This window comes from Homo sapiens, chromosome 12 (assembly GCF_000001405.40).
Source record: "Homo sapiens chromosome 12, GRCh38.p14 Primary Assembly".
Classification (NCBI taxonomy): domain Eukaryota; kingdom Metazoa; phylum Chordata; class Mammalia; order Primates; family Hominidae; genus Homo; species Homo sapiens.
Window position 1 is genome coordinate 68,932,164 of NC_000012.12, and position 21,785 is coordinate 68,953,948.

General features: G+C 40.9%; 1 protein-coding gene across 28 annotated transcripts in view, besides 2 other annotated features; it reads right to left on the minus strand.

Moving 5' to 3' along the window:
- The window catches only part of CPM (carboxypeptidase M), a 121,273-nt gene that overhangs the window by 89,967 nt on the left and 9,521 nt on the right, over positions 1–21,785 (minus strand). For 11 of the 28 annotated variants that reach the window (XR_001748577.3, XR_001748578.3, NR_182143.1 and 8 more), the window contains exons 1-2: positions 979–1,008; positions 515–677 (exon numbers count right to left, since the gene is read on the minus strand). Coding sequence is in view for 12 of the 28 variants with exons in the window: in NM_001413394.1 (NP_001400323.1) it covers positions 515–674 (160 nt within the window). In the remaining 16 variants the exon portion in view is untranslated. Of the gene's footprint in view, positions 1–192; positions 460–514; positions 705–966; positions 1,069–3,679; positions 3,809–21,785 lie in introns of those variants that run through there. The other 17 variants (XR_007063051.1, XR_007063050.1, NM_001413398.1 and 14 more) reach the window with 8 other exon arrangements.
- Positions 888–1,247: a silencer, noted in NCBI's record as "silent region_4649". NCBI's record gives its function as "represses an Ori minimal core promoter by ATAC-STARR-seq in GM12878 lymphoblastoid cells {active_cell/tissue: GM12878}" and the evidence as "EXISTENCE:reporter gene assay evidence [ECO:0000049][PMID:35858748]".
- Positions 1,278–1,387: a silencer, noted in NCBI's record as "silent region_4650". NCBI's record gives its function as "represses an Ori minimal core promoter by ATAC-STARR-seq in GM12878 lymphoblastoid cells {active_cell/tissue: GM12878}" and the evidence as "EXISTENCE:reporter gene assay evidence [ECO:0000049][PMID:35858748]".

Genomic DNA, 21,785 nt, shown 5'->3' on the forward strand with positions numbered 1-21,785 from the left:
TAAAAGAAACTTGCAGAAATGATAGTTTTGCATAACTTTAAATAAAAGGCTAACTACAGATGACACAGAAATCTTACCAACAAAACTGCATTATTTCAGTTTAAAAGAGACATGAAGAAATGACATTAACAGTCCAAGTCATATATAAAGAAGCCCACACAAAGGGGAACTGAAACGGATAAACGGACTTACTTGGGAGTTTATCTTGAAAAGGAACTAAAACATACATCCCAAATAACCAATGTCTGCAAGATCCAAAAAGACAGAAGAACTCCAATAATGGAAAGGACTCAGTGACACTGAATTACAATGGACAAGTCCAGTAAAATTCAGTTCTTCCTACTATTCCTCCCAACAAAAGCAGAAAACAACCAACACGCACGGTACCGGTTGACTTGTTCTGTGCCACTCAGAGTAGGTGCGTGGAAGAGCAGACAGGAAGCTGGGGCATATTTAATGAATACTGAAAGGGAGGACTGAGGGTTTGGCAAAGTGTTCACGAGACGGACCCTACCTTTCACAGATTTCCCAATACTGTGTAAGTGAGTGACAGAACTGTAGTTTTGGGCAACAGTCTTCAAAAACGCTTCCATCCCTTCCTGGCGGTGGTAGTTGAAATCCAGCGCAGCTACCAAAGGCAGCAACAGCCCTAGCCAGAGGCACGGGAAGTCCATGTTCTAGAGATGAATAAAAATAAGAAGAACCTGAGAACACATGAGGGCAGGCGGGGGCATCACCAGCTACGTCTCGGTACTCCGGTCTCAGGGTCTCCCGACACTGACGCTCCCTGCCTCCTAAGGAGGCAAAAGCTGGAAGCAACACCTTCGGGAGTGAGCCGTGCAACCAGAGACCGGGAGCACGGGCAGCCTCGGTGCCCTCGACCCAGCCGCCCGCGCCTCCCTCTCCTCCTCCTCCTGGCGCCTCCGCCGTCCGGCAGCTGCCACAGCTGCGCCCGGCCCCGCGCACCCCCAGCCTCACCAGGTCCCAGGCGCGCACCTCTACCCACCCGCGGCCGCCCGGCGGGGCCGGGTGTTATAGCCCGGTCAGAGGGCGGGCGCGCCCGGGCCCCGCCCCCGGACGTCCCTCCGGCCCACTCCGGAGCCGCGCGGGTGCCTCCCGGGCGGGGCCTCAGCCGCCTTCGCACCTAGGAGAGACGGCGCCCGCGCGGTGCGCCCTTTCGTGGCGCGGCTGCTGGTGCCCGCGGCCGGGCGGCTGAGCTGGGCGGAGGGCTGCGGGCATGGAGTCGCCGCTCGCGGACAGTCTTTGCTGGAGCCCCAGGTCAGAAGTGTGTCCTCGCCTCGGCCACGGCTGTAGCCTGGGCAGCCACAGGGCGCTCCACCGAGGGACACTCTCTGTCGCAGACTGCAGCCGCTTGGGAGACGTTTAGGGCTCGGCGGGTTTCCTGCGGTTGGCGGTGCCGGGGCCCACCTGGAGCCGGGACGCATGCGGAGTCCTGAGTGCCCTGAGCCCCGCGCGGGCTCCTGCGGGACGGGCGGCGTCGGCCCCGGCAGGGCGAGCCAAGCTCCCAGCAGTGCCAAGCTGCCCAGCGAGGCTAAGCAATCACGGGGCTTCGAGAAAGAACGCGCGCGTGTGTGGAAGTTTTAAATGCCACGAAGTGCAGAGTGCAGGACATTTTCCAACAAGTTTACATAGTGGGTGGGATTTGTGTAAATTAGAATTGAATTTAAAACTGGAAGTCACATCGAAGAAGGCAGGACCACTGTTGTAAATCCGATGCTTCCTCCACCTGCACCTGAGTCTTAGGCCAATTACAGGTCTCTCGTCCTAAAACGTCCTAAAATGCTCCTTTCTGGAAGGATGGCATGGTCTCTGCACGAGAGAGAACGAAGGCTTCACTCAAACCTGAGAGGTGGTTTGTGGCACGGGCCAACCCCCTCTACCTCTCTAAAAGATTCATTCTCATTCATTCTCTCTCTCTCCCCTCCCCCTCTCCCCTTCCCTCTCTCCCCCTTTCTCCCACTCTCTCCCGGATTGTAAGTAACCGTGTCAGGGTATTGGGGGCCCGTGTCAAGGTCCGCAGAATATAAAAAGTTTGAAAACCACTGATTTGAGATAACATTCCACTTTTACAGACTAAAAATACGGATGCAAGCCCACGACTAATTGAATAGAATTTTTCTCGTGGAGGCCCAAGAAAGTGTATTTTTAGAGAGGACCTTGAATGAATCTAATGTGCCTTCAAGAGCTGAGAACCGTTAGATTCCCTGCCCCTTCTTTCTTACAGATATAGATACTTTTCCTAGAATTGCGCACTCAGGACTCCCTGAGACTTCCAGTGATTCTGCCGCAGCATAGAAGAGTGGTTTAAGAACTGAGGCGCTCTGCCCTTGCGATAGTTTGCTGAGAATGATGGTTTCCAGCTTCATCCATGTCCGTACAAAGGACATGAACTCATCCTTTTTTATGGCTGCATAGTATTCCGTGGTGTATATGTGCCACAGTTGTGCACATGTGCCCTAGAACTTAAAGTATATATAAAGAAAAAAAAAGAACTGAGGCGCTCACGGGATGAGTGCCAATTCTTGCTCTGACACTCAGTGGCTGTGTCGACTCTGTGCCTTATTTTCTGGTGTGTAAAGTGGAAGTCTTAATTGTACCTACCTAAATAAGGTTGGCAGGCACATTGTAAGAACTGTGCGAAGCGTTTATTACATAAATAAACCAGCTTAATTCGTAACTCTTTAAAGGGAATTTTCCAAGAGTTGGAATTTTTTTTTTAATTTTTTATTTCTTTCTTTATTTTTTGAGATGGAGTCTCAATTCTGTTGCCCAGTCTGGAGTGCAATGGCATGATCTCGGCTCACTGCAACCTCCTCTCAGGTTCAAGCAATTCTCCTGCCTCAGCCTACCGAGTAGCTCGGATTACAGGCACCTGCCACCAGGCCCGGCTAATTTTTGTATTTTTAGTAGAGACGGGGTTTCACCATGTTGGCCAGGCTGGTCTGGAACTCCCGACCTCGGGCGATCTGCCTGCCTCGGCCTCCCAGATCGCTGGGATTACAGGCGTGAGCCACCGTGCCTGGCCATCTTTTTTTTTTTCTTAAAGAGAAGTTGTTTTATTGTTTGTTTGTTTGTTTGTTTGTTTGTTTGTTTTGAGATACAGTCTCACTCTGTTGCCCAGGCTTGAGTGCAGTGGTGCAATCTCAGCTCACTGCAGCCTCTGCCTTCCAGGTTCAAGCGATTCTTGTGTTTCAGCCTCTAACGTACCTGGGATTACAGGCACGCATCGCCACACCTACGTAACTTTTGTATTTTTACACCACACATGCCTAACTTCTGCATTTTTAATAGAGACCAGGTTTCACCATGTTGGCCAGGCTAGTCTTGAACTCCTGGCCTCAAGTGATCCTTCTGCCTCAGCCTCCCAAAGTGCTGGGATTACATGAGTGAGCCACCTTGCCTGGCCTAAGAGTTGGAAGTCTTAGTATGACATTGTAGAGTCTTTGAGTAGGTTTTTTTTTTTTTAATTGTGCAGTAGTCACTATGCTAAATGTTATTTCCACTGGAAGGGTTGAAGACGTTTCCCTTTCATTGTTGTTCATTGACTAAGAGGTCTGAGGAGGGGGACTGGAGCTTGAGAAGATTAAATTTAGGCAAAGTTACTCTAGGAATGGGAAAGGGAACTGGGTGGGAACAAAGTGAAGGCTTGCTGATGTACCTTAGAAATCCTATCTTTTTAAGAGAAGTACGTGGACACTATCTGATTTCCTGCAGGGTGCTGTGGCTGGAGACTGGAAGAAATGGTGGCTTCATCAATACTGGAATGGAGATTGCCAGGATTGTTGTTCTGGAAAAACAGAGATGAGCTATAGTTGAAATTGCTGCCATTGGGGTTCACACTAGGTAGGAAGGGAGGCAACTTCAGGAAGGAGTCAGAGAATGGAGGTAGGGGGTACAGAGGACTGAGTGCTGAAGGTTTAGGAGCTAGTAACTCAGAGTGCAGGCCAGGGACAGCACTGGCATCACCTGGGAGCTTGTTGGAAATGTAGAATCTGTCACTCCACTCCAAACCTACTGAATCAGAACACACATTTTAATAAGATTTCCAGATGATGTATATGTACATTCAAGTTTAAGGTGCACTGGTCAAGAGAGAAAAAAAAATTTAGTGTTAAGAGTATGAAAGATAACAGCAAAATAAAAGGTTAGCCTAATAGAGTAAAATACTGAAGTTTAGAGATTTTAGAGGTGATCTTCTTTCTTTCTTCTTTTTTTTTGAGATAGAGTCTTGCTCTGTTGCCCAGGCTGGAGTGCAGTGGCACAATTTTAGCTCACTGCAACCTCCACCTCCCGGGTTCAAGCAATTCTCCTTCCTCAGCCTCCTGAGTAGCTGGGATTACAGGTGCCCACCACCACGCCTGGCTAATTTTTGTATTTTTAGTAGAGACGGGGTTTCACCACGTTGGCCAGGATGGTCTCGAACTCCTGGCCTCAAATTATCTGCCTGCCTCAGCCTCCCAGAGTGCTGGGATTACAGGTGTGAGCCACCAGGCCTGGACCTAGAGGTGATCTTTCTAAGTATGGCACCATTAAAGGTAAAACCATAATAAAAAGGCTAATAATTTGAAAACATACAAATGTATGACTTCTGTACAGAAAACCTTATAAAGGTTATAAGAAGAAAGGTTTAAATCAGGTTATGAGAAAAATTACAAGCTGGAAGAAGGAATTAATGCTCTTACAAAATAAAGAATGAGCAAAGGAGATGAATAAGCAGTTCATAAAAGCAGTAACACAAATAGCTAATAAATATAGTAAAGGTTACCAACCTGGTAAGCAATCAAAGAATTACAAGTTAAAAGGGTAAAGTAATACTTTGTTTTGCTTATCACAAAGCAAGATTAAAAAGATTGACAATACCTGGAAGTAGACAGGATCTCAGGAAATGACATTTATGCTGTTTCAATGGTGTTCTAAATTAATACAATCTTTCTGGAGGGAAATCTGGGAATAGACATCAAAATTTTGTATGTGCCATTCCTTGCTAGAAATTTATGCTATAGAAGTAATTTGAAGATGTGTTGAGTTTGTATATGTTAGGAGCTTCATAAGTGCTGCTGCTTTAAATTGTGACAAAGTAGATAAAACCTAAATGTCAAACAACAGCAGATTGGTTAGATCAGTGGTTCTCAACTTGAGGCAGTAGTGCCCACAGCAGACATTTGGCAATATCTTGAGACATTTTTGATTGTCATAACTAGGGATGGGAGCTACTGGCATCTAGTGCTGATACAGAGGGCAGGGAGGCATTAAATATCCTTCAGTGCACAACACAGCCTCCCACAACAAAGAATTATTCAGCCCAAAATGTCAATAGTGCTGAAGTTAAGACACCCTGGGTTAAAGAATATTATAGCTGTACAATTAATTGTTTTTCAGCCATAATAATGTCAATGTAGATCTGCATTTATTCACTTGGAAAGACAAATTGTTCAGGCAAGAAGCAGATAATAAAAGTAAAATAAATAGTAAGATCTCATTTAGATAAAGCAAACAAAAAAAAACTATTCCCAGCAATGTGTTTCTAAGGTTACCAACATGCTGAGTGCAAATCCACGAGTTGCAATGTTTTAATTTTCTTTTTTACATCTTTCTGTATTTTCTGAAAAGTTTTTCCACCAAACATGCATTGCTTTTTTAAATTGGAAAAACAATGAAGGCATTTTAATTTAAAAGCAAAGCAGAGGAAAAAGCACAAAAGTGTTAGAGAGGACCAATGACTAATTCTGAATGAAAACAGGATCAAAATATCTTAGAGTGAATTACAAAAGTGAAGAGGAGGTAAAGATCACTGGAAATGGGAAATTAAGGAATGAAAAAGCCAGAGTGTTGGATTGGTTCTGTTTAAGGACTCTGAATTTCCCTAAGATAGTAGCAGGAATTGGGACAGAGGGAATAACTATAGTCGGGGCTAAGTACCTCAATAGATGTCAACAAGAATGAGAACAGTATAACTAGACTTTGTGACTTTCAAACTTTTTTCTTTGAAAGTGTCACAAGAAAATCTGAACAAGATAAAAGAAAAATTTTAAACTTACAAATTTTACTTACCTGGAAACAACCATTCTTAAAACACATTTAGGGATGGGGCAAGGTAGTCCCAGCTACTGAGGAGGCTGGGGCAGGAGGATTGCTTGACCCCAGGGGTTTGAGGTTGCAGTGAGCCATGATCGCATGGCACTCCATTCTGGGTGACAGAATGAGACTCTGTCTTAAAAAAAAAAAATCCCCAAACCCCAAAACAATCAAACAAACACACACACATTTAGGTATTAACCAGCGCCCTAATGTGGCACATTTGTTTCTGGTATTTCTTTATTATACACAGCACATCTAGAAACATTCTCAGAGCTAAACCTTTGAGCATGTCCTTACCTCCTTAGGATCATTTCTTAGACATGTAATTGCTAGGTTAAAAAGCATGTACACTTTTAAGACTTAAAATATTTGGCCAAGTTATACTCCTATAAAATGTCAAATGTATAATTTAAAAAATGTTAAAAAGTATTCTCATACAAATATAGAGTAAGCACAGTTCAAGTTTTAATTTTAACTTATTAATGAGGAAACCAGCAGGATAACAAAGCCAGTTCAAAGAAAGACATGAGAAAATATGTGTGTATACACACACACACACACGTATATCTATATGTGTACATATATATCTATATGTGTATATACATATATTATGTATATCTATTTATATATGTACATACATATATATGTATATGTGTATATGCATATATGTATAAATATGTGTATATATCTAAATATACATAGTACATATATGTAAGTATATAGATATTATATAAATATATCTGTAAGTATATATATAGATATTATGTACATACATCTATAAGTATATACATAGATATATGTACATACATCTATATATGTATACACATATGTATCTATATATACATTTACTACATACATATATGTATGTATATATGTACATATATCTATAATAATATATACATAATATATGTATATGTTATGTATATATGTATGTACATCCCATAATGTATATGATGTCTATACATATAGACATCATATATGTATATGATGTATATACTTATGTATATTATGTACATATATACATATAGTATATGTATTATGTGTACACATACCTATATACATATTGTATTTATATTATGTATATACATACTATATATAATATACATATGTAAATATACATCCTATATATATACATAAATATATAAAAAAGAATACTAAAATCATTCTACATTATTGCTAAATTAGATATAAATCTGATTAATGTCTTACAGGGTGATAAACCATAATGTTTGGTGCTATCTTTACAGAGCAAAATTATTTTCATCTGTGCAGGACAGAAATTATATCTCCATTGGACAAAAATATAGCATCTCACCAATTTTCTACAAACTAACATTTGAATTTACAGTTGTAAAATGTGCAAATCTGTAATAACGAGTCAGGATTCAATTCACCTTAGATGGACTGGTTAGGCAATGCCTAACATGAAAACAAATTATGCAATCATATTTTGCTTTCCAAGTTTTGAAAAATTTTTTCTGACCAAAGGTCATTCCAATTTACAGTCCTCACTGGTGATATGTGAAAATGCCTGTTTGGCTCCTCATGATTACTATTATCTCTTTTAAAAATGTTTGCCAATTTCATAGATAAAAATGAAATCTCATAATTTTAAGTTTTAGTATTAATGTGACTGAACATTTCTCTCATAGTCTTATTGAACATTTATTGTTCTTCTTTTAAAAAATAGTCTATTAATAGCTTTTGCTCATTTTTCTGGTTGTGTATTAGTCTTTTCCTTCTGGATTCATAGTTTTTTGATATATTCTTAGAAAGTTTATTCTTAAATTATAAATTAATTTATATTTTCTTCTATTTTTATTTCTTTGGTATTTTTATTTTTTCATTTTTCTTCTTTCATCTCATTTTTTAAAATTAATTTTTTTAGAGCAGTTTGAGATTTGCAGAAAAATTGAACAGAAAGTATAGGGTTCCCATATACCCTTTTCCTGCCCTACCCACATACACAGTTTCCCTTATTATTAACATCTTGGCGTTAGCGTGTCACATCTGTTAAAATTGATGAGCCAATATTGACACATTATTATTAACTAAATCTATAGTTTATATTGCATATGCTATGAGTTTTTACAAATGTATAATGGCATGTATCCAACATTACAGTATCATACAGAATAATTTCATGGCCCTAGTGATCCCCTGTGCTCCACCTATTCATCCCTCTCTCCCTCCCCCAGATTTATATTTGTAGTCCACTTGGAATTTGTTTTCATCTAGTATGTGAACTATGTGTTAATTGTGTGAAGACATTGTTCTGTCAGGACAGATTCCAATCCTTAACCCCTACCTACGAAAGGTTCTCCTGAAGTGTATATGCCCAGAGCACCAGGCCAGGCAACACATCCTTCTTATTACCAAATGGGGCTTTGGTCTCCAAACGTTTGAGTAGGACCACCATCCAAATGAGAAGGGCACTGAGACTTTTAGCAGTTCTCAATGAAACAACAAGAAGAGAACACCTTAACATGTTGGAATTGGGTTGCAAATTTTTCTTTATGATAAAAGATGGCCCTTTATTCTGAGACCATGTCCTTCCTATATTTTTTAAATTATTGTGCTATAAAACATATAAAATTACCATCTTAACTGTTTCTAAGTGTACAGTGCAGTTGTGTTAACTCTATGCACACTGTTGTGCAATAGAGCTCTAGAACTTTTTCAAACCTTGCAAAACTGAAACTCTATACCCACTGAACAACAACCCACCTTTTCTCTCTCTCTCCTGCTCCTGGCTACCAACATTCTTTCTAAAAGTCTGACTAGTTTAGATTCCTAATATAAGTGGAATCATGCAATATTTGTCTTTTTGTGACTGGCTTATTTCTGTTCCATTGGTCAATTTGTGTGTTTTTGTGCTACAGAAGTAATTTGAAGATGTGCTGAGTACGTGTGTGTGTGTGTGTGTGTGTGTGTGTGTGTGTATATAAAGCTAACACATCAGCTGAGAAACAATGTCAGGAAAAATCTAAACATTTGAAATTAATTTCAGTTCAGGAAGTCACCCCAAATAGTGTGAGTGAAGCATCAAATGGTCGCTCAGAAATAACTCGCCCAATAAGGTAAAACTTATTTTACATTATTTTGTTTTTTGTTTGTTTGTTTGTTTTTGAGACAGGGTCTGGCTCTGTTGCCCAGGCTGGAGTGCAGTGACGTGATCACAGCTCACTGTAGCCTTAACCTCCCAGGCTTAAGTAATCCTCCCACCTGAGCCTCCCGGGTAGCTGGGACTACAGGTGTGTACCACCACGCATGGCTATTTTTTTGTGTATTTTTTGTAGATACAGAGTCTCACCATGTTGCCCAGGCTGGTCTCGAACTTCTGGCCTCAAGTGATCTGCCTGCCTAGGCCTTAAAGACACATTTTCTTGAAATTTCACAAGTAGAATATAATGCCTTATACTAATGCTGCTCAATGATTCTTTCTATTGTCTGCTGCTTCTCATGTATCTGAGGGAGTTTGGGCATTTATCTTAAGCTGGGATCTCCTGGTACCTCCCCCAGTACTAAACCTACCTCCTTCAAAGTAGCTCCCCCAACTCAGATCAGTACCCCCAGCAAAACCGGATTTGTTTGTTTTTGATAAAAAAGGAAAGTGACCTTGCAATTCTTCAGAAAGGAAAGATTGCTATTTATAGCTAGAGATAAGAAAATTGTTAGTGAAAAGCTGGATGGTTTTTGTTAAGGTCCAAGATGATCCTTTCCCTAAACTACCACGGGTGATGTCTAAACAGTGGGACTCAGAGATTGAAAGAATATGTCTCAACTCAAGCATTCTCTGTTTAAAACAAGGACTCTGTAGTCTTGGCTGTGCATCTTTTAAAAATTGTTCCTTTATTTTTTTATTAGTAGACTTTGTTTTTTAGAACTGTATGTCTTTTTAATAAGCATTTCTCTAGAAATTGTGGCTGTGTTTTCTGTTTGTTATGCAAGTTGTCTATCAAAAACCAAACAGAGTAGTTCTTTTATTTTGGATGTGCAACTGTAAATGCATTAGTATTCCTTTGAGAGATTTAGAAAGGATTTGTATACACATTTGTGTTCGTGATAAATTTCTGAATCCTAGAATTTTTCATGGCACAAAGAAAGAAAAGGACTAAAAAAATGCTATCTACATAATCAAAAAGCGTACCATAGGAAGAATATAAAAATACACAGCAATGACTATAAAATCATGCACCGTTATCACACTATTGTCCCTTGTTGGCACTATGTCACTGTGAGAGTAAACCTATTTCTGCTTTGCCCCACTCTCTGATTTTTAATTATTCATTCATTTCCTTATCAATTATTTATTGTTTACTCTGTGTCAGGCACTGCACTTGCTCCTAGGGAATACGACTGTAAACAAGACAGAACAAATCTCTGCCCTTAGGTAGCTTACATTCTACAAGAGCCAAAAATCTCCACTAAAGAATTTCACATGTTCAAAGAAACCTGTGATCTTTCTTGGGGAGCTGGCATAATATTACTTTCTGCTTCTTGTGTCTTATCCCCTAGTGGTTTGTACCACATTCTGTACTGCACAGCATGACCTTCTTAGCTTCACATTCTATCTACTGTTGGTGAAGCAAAATTAAAATGTAATCAGATCAAAGTTTGACACTCCAGTATGCCCTAACACATCAGCTGAGAAACAATGTCAGGAAAAATCTAAACGTTTGAAATTAATTTCAGTTCAGGAAGACACCCCAAATAGAGTGAGTGAAGCATCAAATGGTGTCATTTTTTGTTTCCCCCATGGCATCTAGGTCAGAGCTCAGTGCATGCTTGCTGATTTATAAGTGTTATTCTAGGAAGAATATAGCATCAAGAGATTATATGTAATAACTAAAATAGTAAATTATTAAAAGTAAGGTCTGTGGAACCACACCATCTTAGCTTAAACCCCAGCTCTGTCGCTTACTGTGTGCCCTGAGCAAGTCACTGCACCTCTTGGTGCATTCATGTCCTTTTCTGTAAACTGGGCTAACTCATGGTATTGATCTTAGAGGATTATAGTGACCTTACAGGGTTGCATATATTAAATGAGTTAACATATACAAAGAGTTTAGAACAAACAGTGTCTGGCCTGTTATAAATGCTTTATAAGTCCCAAGCTGAATTCATTTTTATTATTATTACCATCTAGTGAAGATGAACAAGACAGAAAGGGATACAACAGATAGTATATGTTTATATTTATCTTATTTATTTCCACATCCCAGCTCCTTCCAACATATTTGCAATAGTGGAATAGACCTTTATCAACCATAAATTTGTGATAATTTACAATTACAAAGCAATTGTTACAATAGTGACTTTTTCTCTTAAACTCATGGTCTTTGAGTGCAAAATAATGCTTACTTCTCCTACTATACTTTGTTTATATTATAGATTTGCAAGAAAGCTTCTTGGCTCTAATAAGGCCGATTTCCAAAGCAAAGACAGTCCTATTTAGCTGCATTTAATCTGGATTGTGTGATATCAAACAATCTGACATAACAGCAGATGAAAGTCATACTCTTGTCTCTTAGGAAACAATATACTTACTGAAATTTATTTCTTTTCTAGCTTTGTTTCAAATGTCGAGAAAACCATTTCTGGATTTTTTTTTTTTTAAAAACTGTATATTTGAGAAAGAATCTGCCATCTTTGTTAATACCCTGTACCTGTAGCAGAAAGAAAGGCAGGGGGAGTGTGGGAAGAAGGGAAAAATGTATATATAGCAGAGTGACAAAGAGACTGTTTGAAGATAGTTAATAATTTGTAAGTTCATCTAATCATTTACTTTTCAATGACCCTTTTGAAAACAGCATACATCATATCTATTCAACAATGACCTCTGGAAAGTCAAATTATAAATATACTCAGACAATAGCCAAACAAATTCTTTTGTCTCCTCATGACTCATGATTAATTGGTTCATTCATTCCTTCTGTTGATAATTATTTAATGAACATCTAATAATATGCTAAGCACTATGAATACCATGGTGTAAAAGAGAAACATAGTCCTCACTTTGATAGAGTTCATATTGTATTGGGAAAGATGATACAGAGATAAGCAGTCACTCAGTTGCCATTTTGATGCCTATTACAGAAAGAAAATTACAGGATATTATGAGACATACTATCAGAACGTACTTACTTTTTTTCTTTTTAGACAGTTTCTTGCTCTGTTGCCCAGGCTGGAGTGCAGTGGTATAATCATAGCTCACTGAAGCCTTGAACTTCTGGGCTTAAGCAATCCTCCCATCTCAGCCTTCTGAGCAGTTGGGACTACAGACACATGCCACAACACCCAGATAATTTATTTTTTGTAGATATGGGGCCTCACTTCGTTGCACAGGATGGTCTCAAACTCTTGGCTTCAAGTCATCCGCCCAGCTCAGCCTCCCAAAATACAGGAATGATAGGCATGAGACACCATGCCTGGCTCCTTCACCTTGTTTTTTGTTTTTTTTTTTTAAATTACAATAAAGAAGTGACAAGGCAGCAGAGCAGAAAGACTGGAGTTACCACTCAAATCAGTCTTTCTGAGAACTCAGACGTTAGGATTTTTAAAGATAGTTTGGTGGGCGGGGACTAGGTAATGGGTACTGCTGATTAGTTGGGAAAAAAATCATAGGGGTGTGGAAAACTGTCCCAGTGAGCTGAGTCTGCCTCTGGGTGGGGGCCACAGGACCAGTTGAGTCATGAGTCATGAGTCCAGGTAGGATCAGTTGATGGCCAGAATACAAAAATCTGAAAAACATCTCAAGAGACCAATCTTAAGTTCTACAGTAGTGATGTTATCTATAAGAGCAATTGGGGAAGTCACAAATCTTGTGACCTCTGGCCACATGACTCCTGAGCAGTAAGGGATTATAAAAGTATACCTATACTTTAGCAGAATTCAGGTCCCTCCAATAACCCTAATCTTGTGGCCTTTCATTAGTTTTCACTCTCTAAGCAAGGAGGAGATTAGTTTTAGGGAGGGACTGTTATCATCCTTGCTTCCAAGTGAAACTATAAACTAAATCCCTCCCATGGTTAGCTCTTTGTGCCCCCAGGAATTAGCAAAGACAGCCAGCCTGTGAGACTAGAAGCAAGATGGAGTCAGTCAAGTTAGACTTTTCTTGCTGTCATAATCTTTGCAAAGGTGGTTTCAGTTCCCTCCCTTGTGCTTCAGCACACCTCAATCCTGAGGTGTGAGCTGGGGAGATGGGAAAAGGCTGACAACTGCTCTTCCTGTTGACAGGGGGTATAGTTGGGGCAAGGGTTGCCCCCAAGGTAAGAGGAGTGAAACCATTTTGCAGTTGTCTGTATGTATTCCCAGGTGCCTTGTTGGGTCCCCAATGTTGGTATAACAAAAACGTTAGTATTCTTATCCACATCGTTAGTATAGCACTTAAGAGAACAGTAAACTACAAGAGACCTAATGCAAGGTGTGAAAGTCTTAGCTTCAGGAGTCCTTGCAGAACTGATCTGAAGCCTTGAGGGATTCAGGTAAATATCCCCAAGAACCAATCAGATGTGAGTCATTAGTATAGGCTCACAAACAATGGACAAGGCTAGAATTTTTTTCTTTTCTTTTCTTTCTTTCTTTTTTTTTTTTTTTTTTTTTTTTGAGACAGTGTCTCACTCTGTTGCCCAGGCTGGAGTGCAGTGGCATGATCAGAGCTCACTGAAGCCTCGACCTCTAGGGCTAAAGTGATCCTGCCATCTCAGCCTTCCAAGTAGCTGGGACTACAGGTGTGCACCACCACACCCAGCTAATTTTTAAATAATTTTTTGTAGAGATGGGGTCTCCCTATGTTGCCCAGGCTGGTCTCGAACTTCTGGGCTCAAGTGATTCATCCTCCTGCCTCGGCCTCTCAAAATGTTGGGATTACAGGTGTGAGCCACTGTGCCCAGCCAAGGCTAGAATCTAATAACAGGCATGCTATAGGTTTTTTTTGAAACATAATTTTTCCCTCTCCAGTTTTCCCCCATTTTTACCAAAGACAAATCATAGCAGGACCAATTTATTTGCAAAATAAGCTTTGGTTTTATTTATACTAGGCCTAATTGTTTGCATGAAACATAACATGAATAATTATTTGCTATATAGGCCTTTTTAAAAAATTGGCTTTGCTGGATGTTTTTTTAATAAGGAATCTCAGATTAGACCTTTTAAAAGCATCTTGAGCCCAGCCAAAGATTTATTTGTGCCTGCAGATACCTGTATGAATTGAATGAATTCCTCATTTCTAGAGGTACCAAAATAACTTGGGATTCCTAGGCCTATCAGAAAGGGACATTTTTACTTACCACAGGTTGGGAACCTTGTAAAAACAAGGTGGCCAGTTTTTCCAAGGAATTTTTATCAGCTCTGTAGCTCAACCTCAATTCCTCAAAGCAGTCTGAAAAGTCTGAAAACATGTCATTCCAGTCAAAGCCTTGGTAAAATAACTAGTGTCTCTAATAGTGTCCTGTTACAAAAGAAAACAGATGCTTACTGAACTTATGCAAATAGCGATACTACCATAAATTAAGTATACGTAGACATAGTTTCCAAATTACAGAGAAATAAGGTAGAGAGAAAGAAATGCGCTCCAAAATTTGCTCACTGGAGTGTATTTTACTCAGTTGTTAAAAGCTGTAAATAGCTCCAAATAAAAAAGTTTTCTTGACTCTGAAAAACACAAAGAATAAGCAACGTTTTAAGCAAAAAATCATAAAAAGATTATTTTGGTCTTCTGTTTGCTCAGTCCATGCAAATAACTCCTGTTCTGCTCAATATTCATGAACACATAAGCTCTCCATGAAAGTCCTAGAAGTTTTTTCCCTCTATTCCAGTGGCACAACCTCCAAAGTCATCAGAAACCTGCATTCAAGAGCACAGAAGGTGCTCATTGAGTTGAAATGGAGTTAAGTGGAGTTCAAAAAAGCTTCCAGAAGATGGATCTGTTTAAGCTGTAACTTGAAGGGTGAAGAAATAGAAAGTCCAGGCAGAGGAAATAGTATGTTTTATTTTACATAGTCATGTAGTTTTTATCAGATATCTTTGCACACATTAGAAATAATTTTGAGGCCGGGTGCAATGGCTCATGCCTGTAATCCCAGCACTTTGGGAGGCCAAGACACATAGATCACCTGAAATCAGGAGTTCAAGACCAGCCTGGCCAACATGGCAAAACCATATCTCTACTAAAAATATGAAAAATAGCCAGGCATGGTGGCATGCACCTGTAATCCCAGCTACTCAGGAGGCTGAGGCAGAAGAATCACTTGAACCTGGGAGGCGGAGCTTGCAGTGAGCTGAGATCGCGCCATTGCACTCCAGCCTGGGCAACAGAGTAAGACTCTGTCTCAAAAAAAAAAAAAGAAAAGAAAGAATTTTTATATAATGACTAATTTTATTTATTATTATTTTTTTTGAGACAGGGTCTTGTTCTGTTGCCCAGGCTGGAATGCAGTTGCACAATCAGGGCTGACTGCAACCTTGACTTCCCAGGCTTAAGGGCTCCTACTGCCTCAGCCCCCGAAGTAGCTGGGACTACAGGTGTGTGCCACCATGGCCAGCTTTTTTAAAATTTTTTTTTATTTTAGTAGAGACAAGGTCTTGCTATGTTGCCCAGTCTAGAAATTAGATTTTTATAAAAATTTATACTAATGTCATAATTTCAACCCATTTCTAGCATACCCACTCGCCAAACAGCTCTAATAGCTGTTCCCCATCCCAAAGCAAACTCTCAAGATCCAAAATAGTCTAACAAACAAACAAATAAGACCCAAACTTTAAGGACTTTGAGCTTTGCCAAGATAGGCTTTTATCTAACTCCTATTGGGAATGATATTCAGGCTACAGATGAGTTATTTTAGTTTTGCCTTTCTAGAGTCAACAGAAACACTGAAGCTTAAGTTTTCTAACTGTCCCCTTGATCTGTTCCCTCGAGCACCCTGGATTTTATTATCTGACTATAATAGCTAGAATATAGGGGTCAGATAAATACCGCTAACAATTTATTTTTTGGAGTTTATATTGAAAGTGTGAAGCTATCTGTTTTATGACCTTAAATTATCATTCGTGAGGAAGATGGAAGAGAGATGAGGGCCTGAGGGGGTAGGCATTAGGGAAATGAGAATTTTTGACATGAGAGACTGACATGAAAAAGTAACCCCAAAATATTCAGGTAATAAAACCAATGCATTATTGATCAGCCCATCAGATTATGTGTTGTTTAGTTTCTAGTGTCTGTCTTTTAGAGTATATAGGGAGTTGGGAAGGCTTTGGGGGTTTTGGGGGGAGGGTAGGGAGGAGGTCCCTCTACTCCATTTATCATCTCTCTTGAACTGCAGAATTGGGTTTTAAAATCCAAGTTAGCGTAACCCCCAGTCAGAATGAAGCTTGGTTGCCTGCATATAGCAACAAAGTTAGGAGGAAATAGTCTCAATGATTAGACTCTCATCATCTCAGTAATACGAGAAATTGCAATTAAGGGTAATTCAGTAAGGATTTGGAAGCCTGAAATTGCTCCAGAAGTAAAAAGTCTTGCTAGACTCCTGCATCTTTTGGTTCAGTTGCCATTTATTGCTGCCACACAACCCAGTAAGCATGCCAATGTATACTATGGCTAAATATGATGCTCTAACCTTGGACCATTGCTCAGTAGCCAGTGGCAGATTGGAGTGGAGGTAAAAGTACTCATAACTTGGTGCCCCACAGTTATTTGTGGGAATACATATTTCCTCCACTAAATGGTAAGCTCCCGGAGGACACAAAATATACTTTATTAATTCCTTTATCCTCCATCAGGCCTATCAAGTATTTTGTATGTATTAGAAACTATTTTTGTTGTTAGAAGTACAGATTCTGGGCTCACACCTGTAATCCTAGCACTTTGGGAGGCTGAGGTGGGTGGATCACTTGAGTCTAGAAGTTCAATACCAGCCTAGCCAACATGGCGAAAGCTCATCTGTACAAAAAATACAAAAATTAGTTGGGCATGGTGGCACACACCTGTGGTCCCAGCTACTCAGGGGGCTGAGGCAAGAGGATCGCTTGAGCCCGGGAGGTCAAGGCTGCAGTAAGCCGTGATTGTACCACAGCACTTTAGTCTAAGCAACGGAGCAAAACCCTGTCTCAGAAATAAGTAAATAAATTAAAAAGTACAGATTCTGGAGCCCAGTAGATAAGGATTCAAATTCTGAGTGCCAACATGACTGTGGTTTGGTGTTTAAAGTTGTAATTAGGAATTCACCACTTACCACCTTCATCCTCTTCCTGGCATTAACTCCTGTAAGCTTCAGTTTCTTCTTTAGAAATGTGGATAATTGATAGCACCTACCTCATAAGGAGTTTGAGAGGGTTAAATGAGATTGTTCACATAAAGCACTCAACAATGTGTCTGGCATTCAGTAAATGTTGCTATTATCAATGGAGGTTGTGCAGTAGGTTTTCAAAGAAGGTGTATTAGGTTGTTGAATTATGGATCATGCTTGTGGTGCACAAGCAAGCGAACACAGTTGAGGTACAGCAATGGAAAATTGCAGGTGAGGCTGGCTTCAGAACGACATGCCCAGGGACTCAAATGATGGCACCCAGACCTGGTTTCTCTCATTTCATAATCAGTGTTGCATTCACTGTGTTTGCTCCATTCTCAGACAGCCTCTCATCTCCAGGTCAAGACCTGGAAGAGTCTGCTTCCCTTTAAGTCAAATCAAAGCTTCAGCTAGGTCTTGTTGGCTTGCATTGGGCGAATGAAGATTATGCACCTGTGCCTGAGCCATCCTCTGAGGCCAGAGGATGCAGTGTGCTTGGGCCTTGTTCACGTGCTCATGCCTGGAGTGAGGGGGCAGACAGCTACACCTAAACCATATTGACTAAGAGTGGAGGCAGGGCTGGTTCCTCAGAGGGAAATTAAGGTGCATGTTCTAAAAGAAGGTGAATAACTGCTGTGTAGAAAAAGGTTTTGAAAGGTGGTAAATAATTAATATAAAGTAGCATTGATGCTTCAAGAAGATATACCACTAAGGTATATCTTCATTCGCCCAATGCGCGCCAACAGGGTATTGAAAAAGGTAGGAAATAATTAATATACTACATTATGTTATATATTAGTGTTATAAATCTTGGGTTTCAGGAAATGGAAATCTTATTTTGTAATTTGTAACAGTAAAGCAAGTAGGAGAGAAAGGGAAATAGATTTATATTGTATCAATTTAGCTAAACTGGAACTGGGTTTCCCTGAATTTTTTTCCCAGCATGGTTGTGGATTGATTGGGCCACAGCAGAAGCTTTGTCCAAGATTTGGAAGGTGGGAGTTAAGTGCCTATTCTTTTTATGCTCAGAAGGTCAGTCCAGGGCATTAGAGCCACTGTAGCTCACATACATTGTTGCTTCTCTGCTGGCTCACCTGACAGGCATGAGGCAGCAGCTGGGTCCACCAGCCCTTATAGAGCCTGCCAGATTGCTCCTTCAGCTTCCGCGACCCCCAGGCCAGGTGTGTATTTACTCCTGACTAAGGTGCCGCTGTTCTTCAAAGTGATCCTCACGTGGAAGTGGTAGGCCTGGAGGTAGGGAGATACCATCATGGGTTCCAGTCTGTCTGGAGGCCCAGCTCTTCCCCACAGGCTCCAGTTTGTCTTTACCTTCTCCAACTTCATGTCCATCTTTCCTTGCCAACTACCTTCCCTGCAGACTGCAGACCCAAGCACCGGGTGCAGAAGCCATAGCATAGAGCTTTTAATGATCTCCCACAATTGCATAAGGTCCAATCCTTAAAACAAATCCATTAGTCTATATCACTCCTAGTGGTTCTGCTTCTCTGATTGAATTTTGGAACATGGAATGAAACATATGGACTTTAAAGTCTGACAGCCTGGCTGTACCACTTACAACTGTGTGATCTTAGGAAACTCACTCAACCTCTCCGAGCCTTACTTTCCTCAAGTGTTAAATGAGAACACTAATCCTTTCCTTTTAGGATTGTTGTGATATAATAAATAAAAATCACTTAACAATGCTCAAACTTCAACAGCATTCAACAATGTTTTTGAGGCTTTCAGGTTTTGGGAATACATTGAAGAACAAGGCAAGCATATCCCTGACCTGATCATGCTTAGGGTTTAGCTGGGGATACAGGCAAGTTAACTAGAGTGTGGTAAGTACAGTGTGGTAAGTATTCCTACAAGGAAAAGAAGGAGTAGGATGGGAGGACTAGCTTCATCTTGGTGGTGAGTAGGGGAGAGGAGTATGTCAAGGAAGGATTCCCAGAGGAAGTGGCATCTACACTGAGCCCCAGGGACAGATGGGAATCTTCTGTCATTTTAGGAAGAGGGTATTATGTGTGCAAAGCTGATAGGCAAGGGAAAGCCTGGAGGTTCTCATCATCGTTAGGGTTCATATTGCAGATGCCAAGTGCTGGCCGTGCCAGCCCCCACCACCAGCGAGTGGGTCGTATGTCCAGAGCAGGGAGGAGGCATGGAAACTGGGAGGTGCCAGAGCCCAGGGAGCAGAGCAACCAGGAGCCCGGGGGCCTCATGGAATAACCTAGACTGGCTGTGAGCACACCCTGGACTGGGAATGGAAATATAAGGCTATTTTAGGGCAGTGTTCTAGCAAGTAAACATGACTTCCTAAGAAGAGGAAAAGGACAAAGGGCAGAAAGGAAGGAGCCAGATGCCATCAGTTACACAATGTGCCAGTGAAGGCCATGGGAAACCATGTGAGGGGAGGGAGGAAGCTGCAATCCGTGTGTGGGTTTTTGCTGAATTGGAGTTTCCTCTCTCCTCTCCGGGACATGTTGTGCTATGCCATGTTGTGCTATGGCATTTGAGATTATCTGGGGGCCAGAAGGACTTCATATCCAAGTGATAATAAGGGTATATCCTCTTGAAGCATCAATGCTACTTAAAGATTGCTTTTTTGAGGGAAAGCCTATCTTATTTTAAAAATGTATCTAATAGATATTTCATAGAACAGAATGCAAATATGTTTTGGGTTTTTGCTTAGGATAAAATATGGGCCTTCAAGGAAATGCCTCCACTGGGGAGAGCTGGTCCCTGCTCTTCCCTTAGACCCAGGTTAGCCAGTATGAGGTTACTTTGTTCTGGCATTGAGAGTACTTGGCCAGAGAAAGAGAAGTTTAAAGCCCAGGTGAGAGTCTAGCCTGAACTTTCTTTTCTCTGAAGGCTATGTCTTGCCAGCCCCCCATCTCCAGGACGGGCTACATGATCTGTGGGACCCAGTGCAAAATGAAATTATTAAAAATTTCAAGATGGGGACAGCAGTGCACTAAAAGCATGGGACCCTTCTAAGCAGAGGGCTCTGAGTGATCGGGCAGGCCCCACACCTATGAAGCTGGCTCTGCCCACCTCCCTCCCCTCATCCCAGCACCTATCTGGGACATTTCTGAGGTACAGCACCAGCTAAAGAGAGAAGAGATAGAGACTTTCCCCTTGTATGTCTTATTTATAATCTTTTCATGCCTCCCACAGGATCTCTGTCTTCTCCAAATTGTTGGGAAGATGGAGGACAGGGCATGATTCCATGGAGGTTTCATTTTGTTGATTGGTTCTGCAGATGTCTTTGATGCCCGCCTGAGTTTCTTCACAGAAGTAAGTAGAAAGAGAAACCCTTTGTGGCCAACCATGTATCCCTCCCCTGTGCCTACAGGTGGATCTGGAGAACATGAGGCTTGAGCTCTGTTGCCTATGTTACACCCTGGCCTATCTGTGTGATTCTGGCTAAGGGTGAATGGTAGGATATTTTCATCCAAAATTTACAGGTGACCTAACCAAAATCACTGTTTCCCAAGAAGGTAATGTCAGGCCAGGAAGGCAGGTACTGGTTCACAGAGAACAGCCTTCCATGTAAGTTATAACTGTGGGAGCCAGCACGGGACATTCATACCCATTGCTCCTACGGAATACTTGGCTCGATATTAGAAAGGAGCTCAAGGTAGTACACTTCACGTGCCCCGGTAACGGTGAGCCTCCTTCAGCAGGTATGTTTTTTCTCTCTCTTTTTTTTTTTAAGCAGGAATGGAAGAACCCAAGGATTTCCTTTTGTGGTTAAAAATCTTACAGCAGCAGTTCTTTCATATTTCCGTGCATGGAATATTCTTCCTCCTGACTCTTCTGTTGGAATTCTATCTAGCTTTCAGGGCCTATTTCAGAAGCCACAATCTCTTCAATAATCTTTTCTGACAGTCCTATATCCCTGTATTTATTTTTTCCTTATTTTGTAACATCTTCTAAGATGTTTATTCCATAATTTACAAAATACCTACTATGTACTTGATATACTTATCATTCTCTGTTTTGAATTCATTTATTCATTCACAAACATTGCCCCATGAGTGCCTTCTCTGCCCAGGTGCTATGTAACAGTGGCAATCCAGACAAGCTCAGTCCCTGCCCTGATGGTGGTGCAGCCTGGAGGCAGAGAGAGTTCTTGTTGGTGACAAGGGCTACTTGTGACTCATCTGTGTGTCTCCTTCAGTGGCAGGCACAGCCTCTTCTGTTTACTATCTGCTCAATAAAAATATTCGTTGAATCAAATGGAACATGATATGATTCCAGTTGCACTTTGTGACAAGTGAAATAAAAGTCTGTCACAATTCTAGACAAATGTTTTGCTAGTTGTGGGATGGGTTATAATATCAATGCCTTCACCACAGAAGTCGTTGCTGTGTGTTTATGGTGGCTTTGTCAGCATTA